This window comes from Homo sapiens, chromosome 1 (genome assembly GCF_000001405.40).
Source record: "Homo sapiens chromosome 1, GRCh38.p14 Primary Assembly".
In the NCBI taxonomy this organism is placed as follows: domain Eukaryota; kingdom Metazoa; phylum Chordata; class Mammalia; order Primates; family Hominidae; genus Homo; species Homo sapiens.
The window spans coordinates 68,596,063-68,618,762 of NC_000001.11; positions in this window are offsets into that span (position 1 = coordinate 68,596,063).

Consider the following 22,700-nt stretch of genomic DNA (forward strand, 5'->3'; position numbering starts at 1 on the left):
TCACATTTTGGTAATTCTTAAAATATTTTAAATTTTTGTATTATTATTATATCTGTTTTGATGAACTGTGATCAGCAATCTTTGATATTATCATTGTAATTGTTTGGTGGCAACATAAACTGCACCCGTATAAGACAGCAAACTTATTCCATAAGGGCTGTGTGTTCTATTGGCTCTAACGACCAGCCATTCCTCATCTCTTTCCCTGTCTTTGGGTCTCCCTATTCCCTATTTGGGCCTTCCTATTCCCAAAGACACAACAATATCAAAATTAGGCCAATTAATAACCTACAATGGCTTCCAAGTGTTCAAGTGAAAGGAGGAATTATGTCTCTCATTTAAAATAAAAAACTGGGAATGATTAAACTTAGTGAGAAGGTCATGTCAAAAGCCAATAAAGGCTGAAAGCTAGGCCACTTGCACTAAAAAATTAGCCAAGTTGTGAATGCAAAGTAAAAGTTTTTTTTAAAAAATTAGAAGTGCTACTCCAGTAAACACATGAATGAGAAGAAAGCAAAACAGCCTTGTTGCTGATATGAAGAAAGTTTGAGTGATCTGGATAGAAGATCAAACTAGCCACAACATACCTGTAAGCCAAATCCAAATCTAGAGAAAGCCCTAATTCTCTTCAGTCCTATGAAGGCTGAGAGAAGTTAAGGAAGCCACAGAAGAAAAGTTTGAAGACAACAGTGTTTGGTTTTTGAGGTTTAAGGAAAGAAGACATCTCAATAACACAAGTTTAAGGAGGAAGGGGCAGCAATTTTTCCAGAAAATTCAGCTGAGGTAATTGATGAAGGTGGTTATACTAAACAACAGATTTTTAATGTAGATGAAATGCCTTCTATTAGAGGAAACACCATCTAGGACCTTCATAGCTAGGAGGAGAAGCCAACTCCTGGGTTCAAAGCTTCAAAGGGCAGGCTGACTCTCTTGTTAGGGGTTAATGCAGCAGTGGATTTAATGCTCATTTATGTAGGATTCTGAAAATCCTATGGCCCTTAAGAGTTTTTTGTTTCCAAAATATTACTGCTCATTGACAATGCACCTCATCACCCAAGATCTCTGATGGAGAGGTATAAGAAGATTAATGTTTTCATGCCTGCTAACACAACAGCCATTCTGCAGCCCACAGATCAAGGAGTAGCTTTGACTTTCAAGTCTTATTATTTAATAAATACATTTTTTACATTTGTAGCTGCCTTAGATAGTGATTTATCTGATGGATCTGGGCAAGATAAATTGAAAACCCTTGGAACGGATTCACCATTCTCAATTAAGAACATTCATGATTCATGGCAGAAGGTGAAACTATCAACATTAATAGAAGTTTGGAAAAACTTGATTCCAACACTCATGGGTGACTCTAAGGGGTTCAAAACCCCAGTTCAGGAAGTCACTGCTGATGTGATAAAAATAGCAAGAGAAATAGAATTAAAAGTGGAGCCCAAAGATGTGTCTGAATTGTTCCATCTCATGCTAAAACTTGAATAAATGAGGAGTTTCTTTCTGTGGTTGAGCAAAAAAAGTGGTTTCTTGAATTGGAGTCTGCTTCTCTTGAAGATCCTATAAATACTGTTGAAATGATAGCAAAGAATTTAGAATGTGACATAAACTTAGCTGACAAAGCAGTGGCAGGGTTTGAGAGGATTGATCTTAATTTTTAAAAAAGTTCTACCGTGGGTAAAATATTATCAAACAGCATCAAATGCTACAGTCAAATCTTTTGTGAAGGGAAGAGTCAATCAATGTAGCAAACTCTATTGTCTTATTTTGTGAAATTGCCACAGCCACTGCAAACTTTAGCAACTACCATCCTAATCAGTCAGCAGCTATCAATACCGAGGCAAAGCACTCCACCAGCAAAAAGATCATGACTCGTTGAAGGCTTGGAAGACTGTTAGCATGTATTAGCAATAAAATATTTTCAAATTAAGGTGTGTATGTTGTTTTTAAAGACATACTGCTATTGCACATTTAATAGATTATAGTATAACATAAACATAGCTTTTATATGCACTGGGAAACTAAAATGTTTGTTTGACTCACTTTATTGCAATATTTGCTTTATTGAGGTGGTCTGAAAACTGAACCTTCAATATTTCCATGGTGTAACTCATATTATACTACTTGATCTGTCCTTTTCATTTTTTATGCTTTGTTATACATTTTACTTTTGTATATACTACAAACACAAAATGCATTGCAACAATTTTTGGTTTGCACTTTCACATTTTTTAGATAAATTAAATGTAAAAAAATTTACCTGCCTTTTTTTTCTAGTGTTCTATTATTCATTTCTTTGTGTAGATCCTATCTTCAGTCTGACATCATAATCATTCTGCCCGGAGAACTTTTTTTTTTTTTTTATCATTTCTTAATTTTTTTTTTTTTTTTTATTGAGACGGAGTTTCACTTTTGTTGCCCAGGCTGGAGTGCAATGGTATGATCTTGGCTCACTGCAACCTCTGCCTCCCAGGTTCAAGCAATTCTCCTGCCTCAGCATCCTGAGTAGCTGGGATTACAGGCGTGCGCTACCACGCCTGGCTAATTTTGTATTTTTAGTAGAGACGGGATTTCATCATGTTGGTCAGGCTGGTCTCGAACTCCTGACCTCAGGTGATCCACTTTCCTCAGGCTCCCAAAGTGCTGGGATTACAAGCATTAGCCACTACACCCAGCCTTAACCTTTCTTGAAAAGTAGTCTTCTTAGGATGAGTTCTTACAGTTTTTTATGTTTTTTTGTTTGAGAAAGTTTTTATTTTTCTTTTATTTCTCAAAACATTTATTTGCTGGATATAGAATTATCAATTCACAGTTGTTTTCCTTTCAGAGATTTATAGATGTCACTTTTTTGGTGTTCTGGTTTGCCTGTTTTCTGATGAGAAGTTTACTGTAATACTTATTCTTTGTCCTCTCTGTATATTGTGTCTTCTTTCTGTAGCAGAGAAAGAATATCTCTTGGTCTCAGTTTTCAGCAGTTTGAGTATGACACACCTATTTTGTTTTGTTTGGATTTAATTCTGCTTGGTAGTCTCTGTTCTTCTTGAATTCATGGTTTGCTGTCTGTAATTAATTTTATTTTTTTTCCTCAAATTTGATTCTCTCCCACATTCTATTTCTCAGGTCTCTCTTCTTCTTCTAAGACTTTAATTGCTTACTTATTAAACTATTCTATATCGTTCCACATCTCTCAACTGTTTAGTTCTGTTTCCTACTCTCACTTTCTTTTCTTTTTGTATTTTGGTATGGGTTACTTCGGTTGATCCATCTGTACATTCTTTGCTTCTTTCTTCAGCTGTGTTGAGTCAACTGATAAGCTCATCGAAGGTAGCTTTCATCTTTGTTCCTGTTTTTTTTCTTTTGTTTCTTTCAATTATTTCCACTCGATTCTCTCTTGTAGTCTTCATCTCTCTGCTGAAATTTCCCACCTGATCTTTATGAGGCCAACTTTTTATTAGAATCTTTAACATATTAATCTTAGATCCTTTAACATCTGTGTCATAGCCAAATCTGATATTGACGATTGTTTTGTACTTCAGGAGTGTTTTTCTTGCCTTTTTCTTTCTATGCCTTGTATTTTTTCGTTAAAAGCCAAATATCTCATGTTGGAGAGTAGAGATTGAGATAAATAATTTTTATGCCTCAACATGGGCACACCCTTTGTACTTGTAGGTCTTCATTGTGGGGTTTTGAGTTAATATAATCAGGAATCTGTCTGGGTTTGAGGTTTAATGTTTTTATGTTTACCCAGAGGGCACTGTAGACTTTAAAATACTCTAGCGACAGCTTTGTGTTTAAAGTCACGTTGATTTACCACAGCAATGTCTGTAAGACCACAAGCTGTAAGGTGTACTTTTATGTTGTGCCTCAGAAAGTGTTTCTTTGCCTTCTGTTTTTCTCTCCTGCACCTCTCCCAGCAGTAATCTGCTTTTGCTATTTTGGATGTGCTGGGCTGTGGGGGAAATATGGGGAGCATTCTCTATTCAAATTAAGTTTTATTCTTACTCAGGCACTGTGTCCTTGATTCTTGGATCCCTGAACTAAGATCTGGGGATTGGGCTGATATAACAGGAACTCCACAGAGCCTTCAGCTCTATTGTCCTTTAGGAGGAGATTTTTATTCCCTTCTGTTCTTTCCTCCACCTGCAATCAGTTTTACTACTATCCTGAGGGGGGCAGTGTTTGCTGCCCAACTTCTCACAGACTAAGACTTTCGTTCCATAAAGGAATTGGGAAAGGGGTCTGTGTAGGGTTTCTTACCTCTTTAGCATGGCTATTCTTCCTCTCTCCCAGGTCTGAAACACAATAGAGACTTTTAAAGGGACACTTCTGTGTATTCTACGACTGACCCATGAAATTCACTGGGAAGGAGCCTGCAAGAGAGCTCAGACTCTTTTCACTTCTGAAGTGTTTACAGGCTTTAAACTCTCTCCACCAGTCTGCACATACCTTTCACCTACAAATTAACTATTTTTGGTAAACTATTTCTATTGACGTCTGATTGCATTTATCCAGGTATTTGACTGCTCACGTTTCTTCTCTTTCCGCAGGTGCCTGTATCTTCACAGATTTTGGGTCAGTTGGTTGTTCTGAAATACTATCTCTCTTGGATTGGAAAAACGTCATACAATTGAAGTTAATTCAATCCTATTTTCTTATTATAATAATGAGAGTAACACTCTCTCCAGTTCTCTATATCACAGAGCAAAAGCCAGAATTCTCTTTGTAATTTATTTTTATATTACTAGTTCTTTGCAAAGTAATTCACACATTTCAAGCATTCAATAATTAAAACATTTAATGCATGCAATATTCATGTATGCATGCCCAAGTCCTCCACAATTGACTAGCACAGCAGGAACACCATACAGCAGCAGAATGGGTTAGCATATCATGACACTATATATCACTTCCATGTTAAGACTGTTACTAAATTCTAGTCTTTCTGTTCTACAGTTCTTTTCTACCATCTACAGAAGGATCTTGGATTAAACTTAAAAATATAATGTGCTTCTAAGTTTCATGATAAATGAACAGTGTTTTTTTTTTTTTTTACATACAAAGCAAAATAAACCTATTTTTAGAGATGGAGTCTTGCTATTTTGCCCAGGCTAGTCTCAAACTCCTGGTTTCAAGAGATTCTCCCACCGTGGCCTCACAAAGTGCTGGAGTTATAGACATGTGCCACCATGCCTGGCCAAAGCATATTTTTTCATGTATATGCATGGTATGCAATATTTTGAGGAATTAACTAAGAATTTTTTACCCTTGTAGATTTTTTTTTTTTTTTTTTTTAGTTTCGCTGACCTTTACCCAACCCAAACAGCTGAAGATCCTGCTTTCACTACTTTGGAAAGGGAGAACAACAAGGTGAAGATAAAAAATAATCAAACGCTTGTCTAAAACATAGACGCTTGGGAAAAACAGCACATTCAGAAGAGCACATTATCAATGAGAGCCAATATTTCACCCATTTGAAGACTAGAAAAGTTTTCTTGAGTTGGGTGGCACAATAGAGTTTAGAAGCTGGCTGGTGCAACTCTGTGAAGTGATCTTGTGCACTATTATCCTCAACTCTGGTCTAAAATCTGGCAGTTGGGCTGATGTACAGGAACCCCAGAGAGCCTTCATCTCTGGGTACAGCACAAGAAGCAAACAAAATTTTGTAATGTCCATTATCTAGTATAGTGGTCCCCAATGTTTTTGGTACCAGGGACCAGTTTTATGGAAGACATTTTTTCCATGGATCTGGGAGGGGGGATGGTTTCAGGATGATTCAAGCATATTACACTTATTGTGCACTTTATTTCTACTATTATTACATTGTAATATATAATGAAATAATTATACGACTCACCACAGTTTCTTTATCCACTCATTGATTGATGGGCATTTGGGTTGGTTCCATGTTTTTGCAATTGCGAATTGTACTGCTGTAAATATACGTGTGCAAGTATCTTTTTTCTTATAATGACTTCTTTTCCTCTGGCTAGATATCCAGTAGTGGGATTGCTGGATGAAATGGTAGTTCTACTTTTAGTTATTTAAGGAATCTTCACAGGAGACCTTTAGATAGCCCCTCTGAGTTTCTTATTGCCCCAGAAGAGTGAAGTAGCATTTGAGAAGGATAGGGCCGCCACGGAGAGAGAGTAAACAAGACCTGGAGAAGCCTTGTGACCTGGAAATGGAAGAAAGCTGCAGTGATCCATGTGTACTGCTGATTGAACACTAGGCAGTAACATCTAATGGAATGCCAGTATGTAGTTTTGATGACATTCAAGGATTAGACATGCTGTTTCACTGCTCCCTTCTGCTCTCACTAAAGAAATTCCTTGGAATGTAGACATAGCTTGGAGATAAAATGAAAGAACCCAAATTATCTGAAAATGTGGGTACCCATATATGGTGGAATGGGGGCTCAAAGTATAATTGAAGGCCACTTATGTAAAGTAGTGCTGTATTACTGACACATTTAATTTTTGCACTGATATATGTAGTTACTGTGCATGTAAAAAATATTGTTTCTTAGAATATCTGCAACAGATATCAATATGCTTATAAATGTAATAACATTAAAAATATTCTCCTGGGTATATAAATATATAAATGGATTTTAACTCGAAAAGAAAAATGGTCCCTCTTATGAAGTATATTTTAGTTGACAATCTAGCTCTAGTGCATCCCAATTATTCCACAACACTTTACCCTGATATCCTTGGATCAACCTGAATCACAATATAAGCCAAAACAAGGTGTGCAGATGAGCTGCTTATGCAACATATAACAGTGCATGATGGTTCTGCCTCTGTGGTCACACATTCCTGGCTTGAAATTCAGCACTGTCACTTGTCTACTGTGAGAACTTGGGCAAGTCACTTATCTCTAAGTTTCACTTTGTCATCTCTCAACATGGGTAGTACCAACCATAGGGTTCATGCAAGGACCAACTATGATAATACATGTAAAGCCCCTGACTTACAAATACATGTTCAATAAATAATGATCACAAAAACATGATTATGTTACAAAAGGGACCCAAATGATCAAATATACTGAATCATGGGCCAACCAGAATGTTGCCATTATGTAGTCCAGGTTGGAAAAATGTATTTTTCTGTTTTTGTGCCTGTTTTCATTTTCTCCTTTTCCCAATATATTATGCTTTTCTTTCTCTCCTCCCTCCCTCCTTTACTTCTTTAATTTTTTATTTCTCCCTTCTTGCCTTTTTATTATAAAAATTATACCCAAAAGTAGATAGAATGGTATAGTGACCTCATGTATCCATGACTTAGCTTCCATATTTACCAGCCCTTTGTCAATTTCTAGACCCTTTCCTATCTTCAAGTTTACATTCCTCCATTTATACCATGTCTTTTTCTTTACCTTCACTGGTATATAAATATTTCTCTATAAATTTATTCACCAGAACTCACTTGTTGGCACTTGACTGAAACAGATCTAGGTCCTTAATGTTTGAACCATACTTGAGCTATAAAGAACTAACATGTTCACTGTTTTTAGTGTAAAAAAAACCCTCAGTTCTCTGACTCTTCAACTCTTGGCAATCTGTGCCAGTTTTTCTTAGCTTCATCAAGCTTATGAAATGCCAAAAGGTGAACATCTGTGACCTAGAGTTTATGTTAGTGATAAAATAGTGATTTTACTGTATATTTGTGTTTTCCTGAGATGAGATTATTTACAATTTAAATGTAGTTTTTAATTGATATTTTACTTCCATTTCCATGTAACATAAAATTTTAAAACTCTTGCAAATTAGTATTTCATGTACAATTAGAACTATGACAGTTGTACCTGTAATTTATGCCAAACTATGCATAAATTATGCAACAACTATGATAAGAAGTCAGAAGATAAAAATTTTAAAAGACACTTATAAGCATTTATTTCAAGTAATACATTATTTTTTTAATTTGCAAACACTGTATTACAAGAACATGTTTTAATTTTTAACTGATTTATTGAATATTAAAATGAAGGAATCTTAATCTTGTCATTTATACATTTATTAATGTAATATGCATCTGTTGACTAGAACTAGGTGTCAGGTACGGCACTAGGCATAAGAAAATAAAAGTGAATAAGATATTCTCTGTGGTCAAGGACCTCACAGTTCAGGGAGTAAATAACTGAAGAACGAAGAGGAGTTTGTCAGGTGAAGATAGAGGAAGGATATTCGGGGGAGTAGGCAGAGTATGTGCAAAGGCTTGAAGAAATAAAAAGATGGTCATTTTTGGAAATTATAAATAAATACTTGAAGACAGGTACCATGTCTAGTTGCTCACTGTTGTATCTTTAGCACATAACATCATAGCAATTCAATTAATATTTACTGAATTGAGTAATTAATAATACACTAGTAGATAAAGTTGAAAACCACTTATGAATGGTTCTACAGGCCATAATACTGAGTTGAGATTTCATCTTATAGTCCAGCAGTCACTGAAATATATTCTATGGAATATCAACTCTTTAAAAAGCTAAGAGGGATTAAGTAGTCAAAAAGAAACATTGGTTATACACATTTAAGTAATTTCTTTTTTACTTCAAGGCTCCACAGATGTTAGTATGCTGATGTTGATTGTGATACCTAAGACAGATTTTTACTAAACTCTGTTTCCCAAACTTCTGTGACTGAGAAACTCCTAACACCTGTTCATACCCTGCCCATAGGGCCTGGTATTATGTGCACTGGCAAGGCTTCTAGGCAACAGGGATCCATAGCTGTTGTTTAGAAAAAATATTTTGGTGCAGAGATTAATTGCAAGAGGGTAGGTTTGTAGTTGGGGAGAGCCCCTGCAGATTATTGTCATTGCATAGGTAAGAAATGCTGAAGCCTGAATGTTGACATTACCAGCGAGAAGCTAGGGGATGTAACTAAATTGATGGGGAGTTACTAGAGAAAGCACCTTGGATGATTTTCAGGTTTCTATCTTGGTATGGAGATGCCAGTAAAAAAAAGGATATAGATTTTAGAATAAGAAGGAGTCCCGGTGGAAAGTGTAACACAATCAGTTTTAGGCAATTATGTTTAAAGTTCAAGTGGACAGCCTGAATTAACGATGCAGATTATAGTTACATATATTGGTCTGGATATCAGAAGAGACTAGAGATCACAGTGAAAAATCTTGGAATGGCTTTTGTGGAGCTACTCGGAATGTGTTTCCTCTTTGCTCAATAGTCATTTACATATTTGAAGTCAGCTATCATCTTGGTCAGTTTAGGTTGCTGTAACAAAGTACTATAGATTGAGTGTCTCAGAAACTTCAGACATTTGTTTTTCACAGTTCTTCAGGCTGGAACTGTAAGATCACAATGTCAGTGTGGTTGAGTTCCAGTGAGGCTCCTCTTCTGTACAGCAGACTGCTATCTTCTCCTTGTGTCCTCACATGGCATTTCTCTGGGGTCCCTTTTATATAGGCTCTAATCCCTTTCATGAGGCTTCCACCCTCATGTCCTAAGTACCTCCCAAAGGCCTCACCTCCTAATGCCATCAAATTAGGGATTAGGATTTCAACATATGAATTTTGGGGACACATACATTTAGTCCGCTTTAGCTATCATAGCACCCTTAAACCTTTTCTTCTTTAGGCTGCATAAGCCCAGTTGCTGCAAATATTCCCAGCATGAAATCATATCTGCACCATTTCCTCATGCAGTTCCTTCCTCTGAATGCGCTATAAATAATCAATGTTTCTCCTAGAATGTGGTGCCTTACTGAACCTTGTATCATACAATTTCACATATTATTACTTCACTGAATATCTTTTTCCTCTATTGTCATTATCTCCTTATTCAAACTTGCTCTAAGCCATTAACTTCTACCCAATCCTCAAGCATCCATACCCCTTGAATTATAACCCCTCTCCAGTAAACTACCACCACATGAGATTTCTCCATTGTCTGCCTTTGGACAGATAATATTTTTGCTTAGCCTTGCTTGACTTTAGAGTTGAGCCTTCCTGTTGGAACTACTTTTTGTTTTCTACCTGTCCTTGTGCATGTGATGTTTCAAACTGTTTCTTGCTCCCAGCAGCATCATTCAAGTCTGACCTTGTGTTATATTATGCTGGGTCTGCAGCCAACAGTTTATTCTGTGTATCTTTACACCTGACCTTAGTTATAGTGTGTCCATCCATGATCCTCTACTTGCACCAACCAGCATGTCACATTCATCCAGGAGAAGAGGTTAGATATGGTTGTATGCCAATTTCTTAAGAGCAGGAGCCAAATGTCATTCTTTGTATTCCCAGGGTCTAGCACCATGCCTGACACCTATTGACAATGATATTTAGTAGGTGGATGGATGGGTGGGTTGGTGATTATAAGAAAGTGCTCTGCTTCTGACCATTTAATATATGACATTTTATCCTTCTACATAAAGTTTTGCTTGAAAAAGAGTTCTTATGTTAAACCTGTTAAAACACTAGTGCTCTTAGGAAATGCTTTGATTAACAAAGTTAATTTTCTTTCATAAAACTTGGGAAGGAGAGATAACTGCAGGGAATATTCAGGCATTTTCTTTTTTTATATTTATTTATCTAAATTTTTGGAGGAGCTACTACATGTGAGCACCAGCTTTGGCATTTTACATTTAATTTTCACATTACCTTGTGAGTTATATATTATTCTTCTCAATATACAGATAAGAAAAATTAAAGCTCAGAGAGCTTAAGTGGCCAAAGCTGATGAATGGTGAAGGTGAAATCATGTTCCAGTTCTTTTAACTCTTATTCATTGTTTCTTCTTTACATTCTGGAGCATGTTCTCAGTGTCTTTAATGAGTGCTATGTCACATACACTAATTATTTCCTTTTATTTGTATGTTTTCTTAACTTGAAAGGCGGCAAATGAGAGGCTATAAAATATCTGAGAATTTGTGTTACAGGAAAATTGATTATTTCTTAGGAATTGGATGCTCTAATTACTTTCCTGAAGAAGAACTTCTAAGATAAATCATGTTATTGGTTCCACTAATGATGTAATAAGAAGGTACAATGCTAGAGTAACTCAAAACATTATATTTTTATCATTGTCATTTTATAATGTAGAGAAGAGTTAATGTTGATACATACAGCTATAAAAGGATGCGTTTTATTGAAGTATTTCAGATTGAAGATAGGGAAAATGAAGAGTTGTTGACTGATAGAACCTAAATAAATATATTAAAGCACAACTGTGAAATATTACCATATAAAATGAACTCTTGCCTGGTTAAATGTGATGTTTTGTTTCAGGAGTGGACTCTAAAGTGATTGATAATAGTTTAATGCTTAAAATTTTTGTCAAGGTCTAGGAAATAAAGGAATAGTTAACATTCCACAATTCATCAACTATAATGAACTTAATACATTCCTACCATTTATTATCTATTATCTATTAGCTGCTCCATCTCATATTTCTACTTATTCTTCCCAACAACCTTAGGAAGGAACTGTACATTTTATTGTAGAGAAAAATTGAGGCTCAGAGAGACTAACTTTCCAATGATTCCCCATTTGAAGTTGAGATTTAAACCAAGATCTGACCTAATGTACACATTTAATCTCCATTCAATACTGCTTCTTGGGCATTAATCATACTTTGAATATGGGGCACTACTTTTTCCAAATTCTCTTATTTGATAACTCTAATGTTCATAATAATGAAAAAAATTAATTTTTCAGCTAAGAGAATAAAATAATTATCAACTTTCTCCAGTTAGCTATTTAAACTTTCTACTTCATTACTGTAGATCTCTATGCAATACTTATTGGTATTATATGTTGGGGTTTAAATAAGATGTTTATTTTGTGTAGAAAAGCAAAAGTGGCTAAGGAGGTTTTGTTCTGGATTGCTCTGTGGATTTTGTTGATAAAACTTTTGGACTAACGGGGCTTCAAGATGGTTGACTAGAAACATCTGGGTCTTCCCTCCTCCACAAAGAGGACTCAAACTAGTGAGTAGATAATCGCACTTCAATTAGAGCATCTAAGAAAGAACAATGGAATTCAACAGAGAAGTGATAGGAAACACCTGAAGAAGAGAAGAAAGGCGAAGTCAGGCAGCCGGTTTGGCTGCAATTGGAGACTCCCCAGTGCAAGAAAAGGATGGGTGAGAGATTCTAGTGGGCCACATTTTCACTATGGACCCCTGCAACTCTAGCCACGAGAGAGCCTCTAGACCCTCGTGGGCCCTGAGAATAGCATAGGGAACTTCATGAAGATCGCACAATGGCATTGCTCCAGAGAGGTAGCTCACACTGGGTCCTGCACACTTCCTGAGACCTAACTAGCTTGCAGCATAGCACCATTTTGAGATCCCAGCCCAGTGTGCACTAGACCGCATCCTGCCCTAGGGCCCAACAGCCCCTGTGTCTCCATATCTCTGAAGTCCTACTGACATCTCCTCACATCCACCCAGAGTGTAGCAGAGGTACGACACTGCAGGGTCCCCAGCACCCTAGCTCATGCAGTGCCCTATGCCTGAGGAATGGGTGGTGCAGTACACTGGGGAGGCTGCCCCTGGGACAAAAGGAACCAAAGCGTACAACTCTGGAGCCTGAGAGCAGTCTGCCTCAGAACATTCTCCAGGCTACCCCATATGGTTACATATATATATTTCAATGCATGTCCTCAACAGTGTTTTCATTGTTGAGTAGTTTAAGTTCTTTGTACACTCTGGATAGTAGTCTATTGTCAGATGAATAATCTGCAAATATTTTCTTCCCTTCAACCGATGGTCTCTTCACTTTGTTGTTTTCTTTGCTGTGCAGAACTTTTTAGTTTAATATAGTCCCATTTGTCTATTTCTTGTTGTTGTTGCCTGTGCTTTTCAGGTCTTAACCATAAAGTCTTTGCCTAGACCAGTGATCTGGAGTGTCTCCACTATTCCTTTCTCTTTTGGATTTTTTTTTTTTTTTTTTGAGATGAAATCTTGCTCTGTCAGCCAGGCAGTGGCACGATCTTGGCTCACTGCAACCTCCGCCTCCCAAGTTCAAGCGATTCTCCTGCCTCAGCCTCCCGAGTAGCTAGGATTACAGGCATGTGCCACCACACCCAGCTAATTTTTGTATTTTTAGTAGAGACGGGGTTTCGCCATGTTGGCCAGGCTGGTCTCGAACTCTTGACCTTGTGATTTGCCCTCAGCCTCCCAAAGTGCTGGGATTACAGGCGTGAGCCACCCCTCCAGGCCCTCTCTTTTTGATCTTAAGTCTTCAGTCCATCTTAAACTGATTTTTGTATATGGTGAAAGATAGGCTGCTAGTTTCACTCTTCTGCATGTGGATATCCACTTTTCCCATCGCCGTTTATTGAAGAGGGTGTCCTTTCGCCAATGTATGTTTTTGAGGCCTTTGTAAAAAGTCTGTTGGCTGTAAAAACATGGGTTTATTTCTGGGCTTTCTATTCTGTCCCTTTGGTTTATGTGTCAGTGTTTATGCCAATATTTTGGCATAAAAATATTATTATTATTTTGATTACTATAGCTATGTAATATAATTTGAAGTCAGGTAGTGTGATGCCTCCAGGTTTATTCTTTTGGCTTAAGATTGCTTTGGATATTTGTTTTCTGGTCCTATAAAAAATTTTATGATTTTTTCTTTTCTGGTTCTATACAAATCTTATGATTTTTTTTTCTTTTCTGGTTCTATAAAAACTTTATGATTTTTTTTCTTTTCCTATACAAAATGTCATTGTTATTTTGATAGGGATTGCATTGAATCTGTATATTGCTTTCAGTAGTATGATTAACTTAGCAATATAAGTTTGTCTAGTCCATGAGCATGGGATATCTTTCCATTTGTTTGTGTCTTTTAAAATTTCTTTTATCAGTGTTTTGTAGTTTTCCTTGTAGAGGTCTTTCACCTCTTTGGCTAGATTTATTTCTAGGTATTTTTTTTGGTAGCTATTGTAAATGAGATTGCTTTCTTGATTTGTTTCTCAGCTAGTTCGTTACTGACATATGAAAACACTACTTGTTACTGTATGCTGATTTTGCAACCTGCAAGTTTACTAACCTTGATTACCAGATCTAAAAGGTTTTTGGTGTAATCGTTAGGTTTTTTTAAGTATAAGATAATGTCATCTGTAAAGAGAGACAATTTGACTTTTCCAATTTGGAGGCACTTTATTTTTTTCTTCTTGCCCAGTTGCTCTGGGTAGGACTTCTAGTCCTATGTTGAATAGGAGTGGTGAAGGTGGGCATCCTTGTGGTCCAGTTCTTAGAGAAAAGGCTTTCAGCTTTTCCTCATTCAATAGATTAGCCATGGGTTTGTCACATATGGCCTTTATTATATTGAGGTATGTTCCATTAGGCTGAGTTTGTTGAGTATTTTTAGCATGAAGAAATGTTGAATTTTATGCTTTTTTGTGGTCATATAGTTTTTGTTCTTTATTCTGTTGATGTGATGTATCATGTTTATTGATTTGTATGTGTTAAACCATATTTGCATTCTCGGGCTAAATCTCGCTTGATCGTGGTGTATTATCTTTTTGGTGTGCTGTTGGATTTAGTTTGCTATTATAGTATTTTATTGAAGATTTTTGGATCTATGTTCGTCATGGATATTGGTCCATAGTTTTTTTTTTTTTTTTTTTTTTTAATAGATCGCTTTTTTTTTGTTGTTGTTGTATCTCTGGTTTTAGTATCAGGATGTTGCTGGCTTCACAGAATGAGTTGGGAAGAATTTCCTCTTCTTCAAATTTTTGGAATAGTTTGAGGAGAACTGATATTCATTCTTTTTTTGTAAGTTTGGTTAGAATTTGGCAGTGAAACCATCTGGTCCTGGACTTTTCTTTGTGGAGAGACTTTTTTTTGTTACTGGTTCAGTCTTGTTACTCACATTAGTCTATTCAGGTTTTCTTTTTTTTTTTTTATTTCTTCCTGGTTCAATCTTGGTAGGTTGTATGTTTTCAAGAATTTATCCATATCCTCTAGGGTTTCCAGCTTGTTAGCATATAGTTGTTCACACTAGTCTCTGATGATCTTTTGCATTTCTTGCTATCAGTTGTAATTTCTGCTTTTTCATTTCAGGTTTTATTTATTTGGGCCTTCTCTCTTTTTTTCTTGGTTAGTCTTGATAGCAGTTTATTAATTTTATACTTTAAAAGAATGTCTTGTTTTGTTGATTCTTTGTATCTATTTAAGTCTCTGTTTTGTTTACTTCTCTGACATTTATTATTTTTTCCTCCTATTAAGTTTAGGTTTGGTTTGTTCTTGCTTTTCTATTTCCTGTAGGTACATCATTGGATTGTTTTATTTAAAATCTTTCTGCTTTTTTGATGTAGACATTTATTGTTATAAACTCTCCACTTAGCACTGCTTTTGCTGTCTTCCTGGGTTTTAGTATGTTGTGTTTCCGTTTTCATTTGTTTCAAGATATTTTTTGACTGCCTTATTAATTTCTTTATTTACCCAGTAGTTGTTCAGAAGCACGTTGTTTATTTTTCATGCATTTGTACAGTTTCCAAACTTCCCCTTGTTATTGATTTCTAGTTTTATTCTGTTATGTTCTGAGGAGATACTTGGTATGATTTTGAATTTTTAAAATTTCTTGATACTTGTTTTTTGGCCTAGCATGTGATCTATTCTGGAGAATATTTCATGTGCTGATGAGAAGAATGTATTCTGCAGATGTTAGATAAAATGTTCTATAAAATGGTTCTGTTAGAATGCTCCTAATGTTAGTTTTATTTTATCTAAAGTACAGCTTCAATCCATTGTTTCTTTGTTTATTTTTTGTCTAGATAATCTATCTGTTGCTGAGAGTGGAGTGTTGAAGTGTCTATTATTGTATTAGAGTCTGTCTCTCCCTTTAGATATAATGATATTTGCTTCACATATCTGGGTGCTCCAGTGCTGGGTGCCTATACATTAAAATTGTTATATTTTCTTTCTGAATTGATCCCTTTATCATTATGTAAGATCTTTTTGTGTCTCTTTTTACTATTTTTGACTTAAAGTCTATTTTATCTGATATAAGTATAGCTATTCTTGCTTGTTTTTGGTTTTTGTTTGCATGAAACACTTTTTTTCTCTCTCTTTACTTTTAGTTTATTATGTCTTTGCAGACTAAGTGAGTTTCTTATAGGCAAAATTTGGTTGGGTTATGTTTTTTAAAAACTATTCAGCCAGTCTATATCTTTAAGTAAAATTTAATTCATTTACATTCAAGGTTACCACTGATATGTGAGGATTTATTCCTATCATTTTGTTTATTGTTTGTTGGTTGTTCTGCAGATCCTTTGTTCCTTTATCTCTCTTTCTCTTTGTTTGCCTTTGTGGTTTGGTGGTACCATTTGACTCTGTTTTCTTATTTATTTGTGTTATTTGCTCCACCAGTGAGTTTTATACTTTCATGTGTTTTCATCATTGTAGATATTGACCTTTTGCTTCTAGGTATAGGACCCTTTAGAGCATGTCTTGTAGAGCTGGTCTAGTGGTGATGAATTTCCTGCTTTTGCTTGTCTGGGAAAGTCTTTACTTCTACAATTATGAAAGTTAAGTTTGCTTGGTATAGTATTCTTGGATGACATTTTTTTTTTTCAGCACTTTGAATATATTATCCCATTCTCTCCTGGCTTATAAGGTTTCTGCTGAGAAATCTGTAACTGTTCTGATGGGTTTCCCTTATATGTGATTACATGCTTTTCTCTTGTTATTTCTAGATATTTTTCTAAGTTTTATTAGAGATCAAGAGTATTCCAGATACCCTCTACAAAAATGGAAGCAGTCAATATATAGGGGAGTGGGACAATGATTTTACATTTTCTCTCCGTTTTATCCAATAAACAGAATATTTACAAGTAAAATCTTAGGCAGAAGTCCAATATATAAACCAATATATAAGCAATTTATTTAACCATGGGATGAGGGCTGGGACATCGGCCTGCTCATTGTCCCATGCTATGGTTCTTCTTGAGAACACTGAGGTCCTAGTGCACACAGCATGAAAACCAGTGTGCACCACTGTTTTTTTTTTTTTCACCACTGGTTTTTCAAAGGTATTTTCGTGGCTCTATCCAATTCCTTCAGGTAGAAAAATACTCAATGATCTAAGACATAGCCCTGGCTTTTAATAAATACCATGTATTTGCCAGGTGCATATGATCTCTTTCTAAGAACCCTGTTGGAGTGGCTGAAGCTGGTAGTTGGTTTTGAATTTGGAGACTGATATTCTGTTGCCTCATTTCCATTGTTATTGGTGGCTGTGGGTAACAAGAAAGGGCTTTGTAAGCCTGAAAAGAGCTATGAAAACACAATGTATCATTACTTATTGTGATGGTGCTTTTCTCACTGATGGTGCAACAAGACAAAAACCTTTTTCCTCAAACCACATACACCTCCCCACAATAATCATACTTCAGACTCCAGATTTTTATTCACCTTTAATATTTTAGTCTGAGTAGCACCTCCTTCAGAGGCCTCTTTTGTCTTTTCTAAAAAATCTTTCCTCAGACTGGTAGCATTTTTTCATGCTATACTGCAGTTGTTTGCTTATGTTTCTCCTTCCATCAAGTTATGAACTCTGTAAGGGAAGGGACTGAATCATTCATCTCTTTATTTTCAATGCTTAACATAGAACTTATGTCATTATAGATATTATAAATTAATTTTACATTTGACAAAAAGACAATGTTTAAAAATAAATTAATACATGCCAACGGCAAAAAAGATAACTAGAAGAAGGAAGAAGGGACATATATTTTCTGATTTATCCAGTTTTGAGAACTTGTTCCTCATTTGATATTAACGCAAAGTCTTAAGGAAACCAGATAGTCTGTTCCTCCAGATCCTCAAGAGAACCAGCTGATGATTATGACCCATAAACAGACACAAAGGTTTCAAGTTCTAGTCAAGTCATGGGTTCTCAGTTCCCAGATGTTTAGATATGAAATTAACTATTAAAATCATTCGTATGCCCATGTCTTGCTAATTTGTAGCTGGCATTTTTATATATTTTTTGAGAGTGCTGTTACTGAGATTTGTCTTTTTTTGCTTGTTTCTTTCTTAGTATTGATAGTTCCATTCTACTGTGAGTTGTTATAGTTCAGCAGTTATCATTTTCCTTCATGTAGCTCCCCTCAGTGTGTAGCCCAGAGCAGGAGGACTTGCTGATTGACAAAGAAGGCATCACCTAAACCATATTTGTGAGAGTAAAGTTTATGACACCAGAAATAAGCATGCTGGTATTTAGATGTTAGACGTTTAAAATTATAATGAATTATAATTAAATTAATTAAAATAAAATAAACATATAATTAAAATTATAGCCTTCAAGTATGCATGTGTATACACACACACACACACACACATGCACACACACATAACACACACACAGTACCACACCTGGGCTTGTATGTCTGGGCAGTATATTTCCCCTTTTTTGCACATTTGAGAATAAAATTAATCAAGGAATTCAATAGCCATAATGATAGTAATAAAGCATTCTACAAGTAGAAGCAGCAGTCTCTAAGTGTTATAATCATGTAGTCATAGTCTATGGAAAATAGTTAATGCCTAAGTGACATCAATGATGAAGCTGCCTTCCTAGCTTAGGTGAGGCCTTAGTCCGTGTAAAAATGGAGAAAATGTCTGGATGCAGTGAAGTGTGGATACAGAACCAAACTAAAATTCAGTGAATCAGGCTGCTGACCTGGATCCTTCATCTTTAGGGATCTTTTGGTCTATAGAAGTCCAAGCAGAATGTCGAGGGCTTTACTGAAGCCTATATTGAGGATGTGAGCCAGTTAATACAAAATCAATCTAGAGGCTCCTTTACTTACAATAACACATTAACTTCTTCAACCATTACTAGGTCTTTGGAAAGAGTACATCCACATATGATTTTAAAAAGCTACATTCTAGATACATTAAAATGAAAAAAAGTGCTCATTAAAAAGTACTGGAACAGAACACAAGTAAATATTTATGGGATTTTAGGTTAAGAAAGGTTTCTCTAGGTGTAGCAACTCAAGGAGAAGCAATAAAAGAAAAGCACATTGGCAATGTATAAATTAAAACTTGTGAATGTTACAAAATAAAACAGAAAGCAAACAAAAGTATATTGAAAAAAGCAAATATAATAGAAAAATAGGTAAGAGGATAAGAGACTCTGTATAGCCAGAACTCCTTAAATGCATTCAATTTTATTAGAAAAAAAAAAGAACGTGTTAAGTCTTTAATTTTATGGAAACATGTAGGGTTCAGGAAGACAATGTGGCAAGATAGGAAGGTCAGAAAAAGACACAGAATATCTACTTTCTTGTGGCCACAAAACATTGTTTGTGGCATTGAGCCTAGAACAGAGTTGACATTTGCACAAATGAAGTGGGGGCATAGCTGGGACTGAGCAGTGTCTGGCTCTCCCTTAGTTGCCTCACGAATGGGGTTAGGGATGCTGTGCCTGAACTTGTTGAGGGCATTATTCACGTAGGTCTGTAAGAAGGGAGACCTCTAAGGAATGTACAATGCACAGCTCTATAAGACAATCCCGAGAGAGGCCCCTTTCTCATACAGTGCTATTAGAATTTAAAAAGGCTATGTTAATGAAGTGAATAATAAACAGAGGCAGCTGTTAGACTTTGGGGGAAAAATCTGGAAAGGGTTTTGGAAGAGCCTTGTGTATGCAGTACGAAGCATGTTATAATAAGAAAATTGTTTTGGATTGCAGAGAAAAAAGATTGGTTTGAAGCCGGGCATAGTGGCTCACACCTGTAATCTCAGCACTTTGGGAGGCTGAGGCGGGCGGGTCACCTGAGGTCAGGGGTTTGAGACTGGCCTGGCCAACATGCTGAAACACCGTCTCTACTTAAAAACAATACAAAAATTAGCCGGCCTGGTGGCACATGCCTGTAATCCCAGCTACTTGGGACACTGAGGCAGGATAATCACTTGAGCCTAGGAGGCGGAGGTTGCAGTGAGCTGAGATCACGCCACTGCACTCTAGCCTGGGCGACAGAGCGAGATTGTATCTCCAAAAAAAAAAAAAAAAAGATTGGTTTGAATTTGCGCTCAGCAACTTTTTGGTATTTCAGACCTATAGCAACTCCTTCCGATTCTTGTAATAAACGCAGATCCCCTAAATATTTGTGGTTCTGTGCAGACTCACCTGCTTTGCCTGACTCCACCCTTCATGTAATGAAATCCTGATGGGAAGAAAGTTCATACAAACTAGACTACATGACAAGAACAACTACCTCTATTTCTGTCTCTCTCTCTATCTCTAGCATGCCTAATCTGTATCTATATCAAAGAAAGTACTGAGAATTTCAGGAGTAAATTGGCTAAAGGTGTGCTTACATGAAGGGGTTTAGAGGCTAGCTGTACTTTTTTTTGGTGTCTCCATCTCTGTCTTCTTCTTTTTTGTGTGTGTGGGCCTCATTGGCTCTTAATGCAGCTGGGTTTCTCTATGCAGCTGAGAAAGATGATTACCAACAGTTGTGGTGCTCATCATTTTACCCCTCACGAATTCTGGGGAAGTAGAAGGCCATGCCCTGCCCCATACCATCTCCCAGAATCCAAAAGTTAAATCTCAGGGAAATGCTCTGATTGGTGTTCACTGGGGCAAAGGCCCACCCCCTGGAGTAATTACTGCCGTTAGGAGGATAGGATCTCACTGGGTTACATGCTCATTCCTGCAACTGGAGTGGGCAAAGGCAACTTGAGTGTCAGTCCCATCAAAACCATGTAGGAAAGGAGAGAGGCAGTTCCTCCTTAAAAAGGGAGATACAGGCAGGCAAATAGGGCAGATGGCTGCTACAAGGGTACAGAATCGTATGCATTACAACGTAATGTATAAATGAAAAAAATGTACAATCCAACAGGTAATCAAAAAAACACAAAATAAAGAAGACAATGTTTTTCACTCATCAGATTGAGAAATAATAGATAAATGATAACATTATGTGATGGAGGGAATTAGAAACTCTTTGACTTTCTGTTTTGTAAGATTTTTCTTGAGAAAATAATCATGTTATAAAATAATATTTAATATAATAAAAATTTTAATTGTTATGTGAAATCAGGACATACACTGTACAATAAGTCTAAGTCTTTATAACTTTTTTAGTAAAAAAAGTATGTGTATGTATATGTATATATAGTCGCTGAATATCTATATTCAGTGTTTGTAGAATTATGTCTCTTAGTGGTGGGGTTATACGTGGTTTTAATTTTCTCCATGCTTTTTATACATTCCCCAATTATCTTCAGTGCATGTTTATAATTGTGTTTATTTTTAATTTCAAGATGTTAAAAATATAGTACGCTACAGAGAATAATATAGCAAATACTCATGTACTGACAACTTAAATTTGCAATTACCATGTTGTTATATTTGTTTTAAGTCTTTTTTTAAGAAAAAGAAATAGTCCCTTTTATCCACCACCCTCAGCACTATTCTCTTTACTTCTCTGAAGCTAACCACTATGATTAGCTTGATGAATAAACTGCCCACCCATTTTCATACATTTCTATATGTTACTTGATTGTATTCATTTTATAATTAGAAAAATAGCATATCAATATGCTGTGGGAACAAAGTCCCCCAAATTTCAGTGGCTGACAGCAAAAAAGGTTTGTTTCCTGACACTGTTGCTGATTCCCATCATTGGTACAGATGTTTTCCTAACATTTACGTTTCTTTGATCCTTTCAAAGGGAATGCAGGAAGGTGGGTATGCAGTACATACGGTCAAATGGTGACTTTATATCATAAGCTGCCTATTTAAGCCTATTGCTTTTAAAAAATAGTGTAATTTATTACCACATTCTAGCTCGTTCAAATGGCACTGATACATCTATGAGAATGTGCCAAGAGCAGGTAATTGCCCTTCAATGGGCATTAACAACTGTCTACTAAATTCATTTAGATTAGCTTTTGTTCCCTTGCACCTCAGCTCTCGATGGTCTCAGGATGCCCTTGTTTGACTACCTATTTTGGATAAACTTATCTTGTTCAGCCTTGGAAATCAGCCTTATGCACCATATTCCATAAACAGCCTTCAGCCTCATTCCCTTTGGGTAGGAACACAGCAGATGCTCAGTTACTATTTGTTGAAAGCAATTGTTGGAAGGCCTGATGCTCTTTCTCCATGCCAACTGTGCAAGACTGGCTGGCCAGGGCTGGTTTCCATAAGGCCTCCCAGTCAAGGAGGAGGGGAAATGGTGAAACTCAATCCTGAGCTTGATTTTAGTCTTAAATAATATAATTGCATTTAAAATTATGTGTTCAATACCCTATAACTTAACAAGGATTTCTTTTTACATGGGAAAATAGCAGGCACCCAGAGAGTGCGGTTCTCTGTATGGTGGAATGGGTGAACGCTTGCTTCTCCTCTGGACACAGTAATGAATTCTAAAACCAGAAATAAAGTCCATGCTTATAAGTCACTCTGTTGTGTCTGAAGAGAGGAGTTCTGTATGACCAGATTTGGGTGGGACTTGTCCAAATTTGTCCTCTGAACACAGAACTGTCCATTTTTGGCTTCGGTCCTTCTACCCTCTCATTCCAGAGCAGGGTTGCTGAATCTGGTACCCTCAGCTCCTGTACCCTCACCACTGCCTACATCCCAAGAGAATGCAATGCTATGTCCTGCTGAATTTTGGCTAGGTTTCTTTATATCTCTCAGACCTGTATCATAAACTCAGTATTTCTGTTTGGCTGGCAACTTTGCTTCTCTCCTCTGTTCTCACCTCACTCCC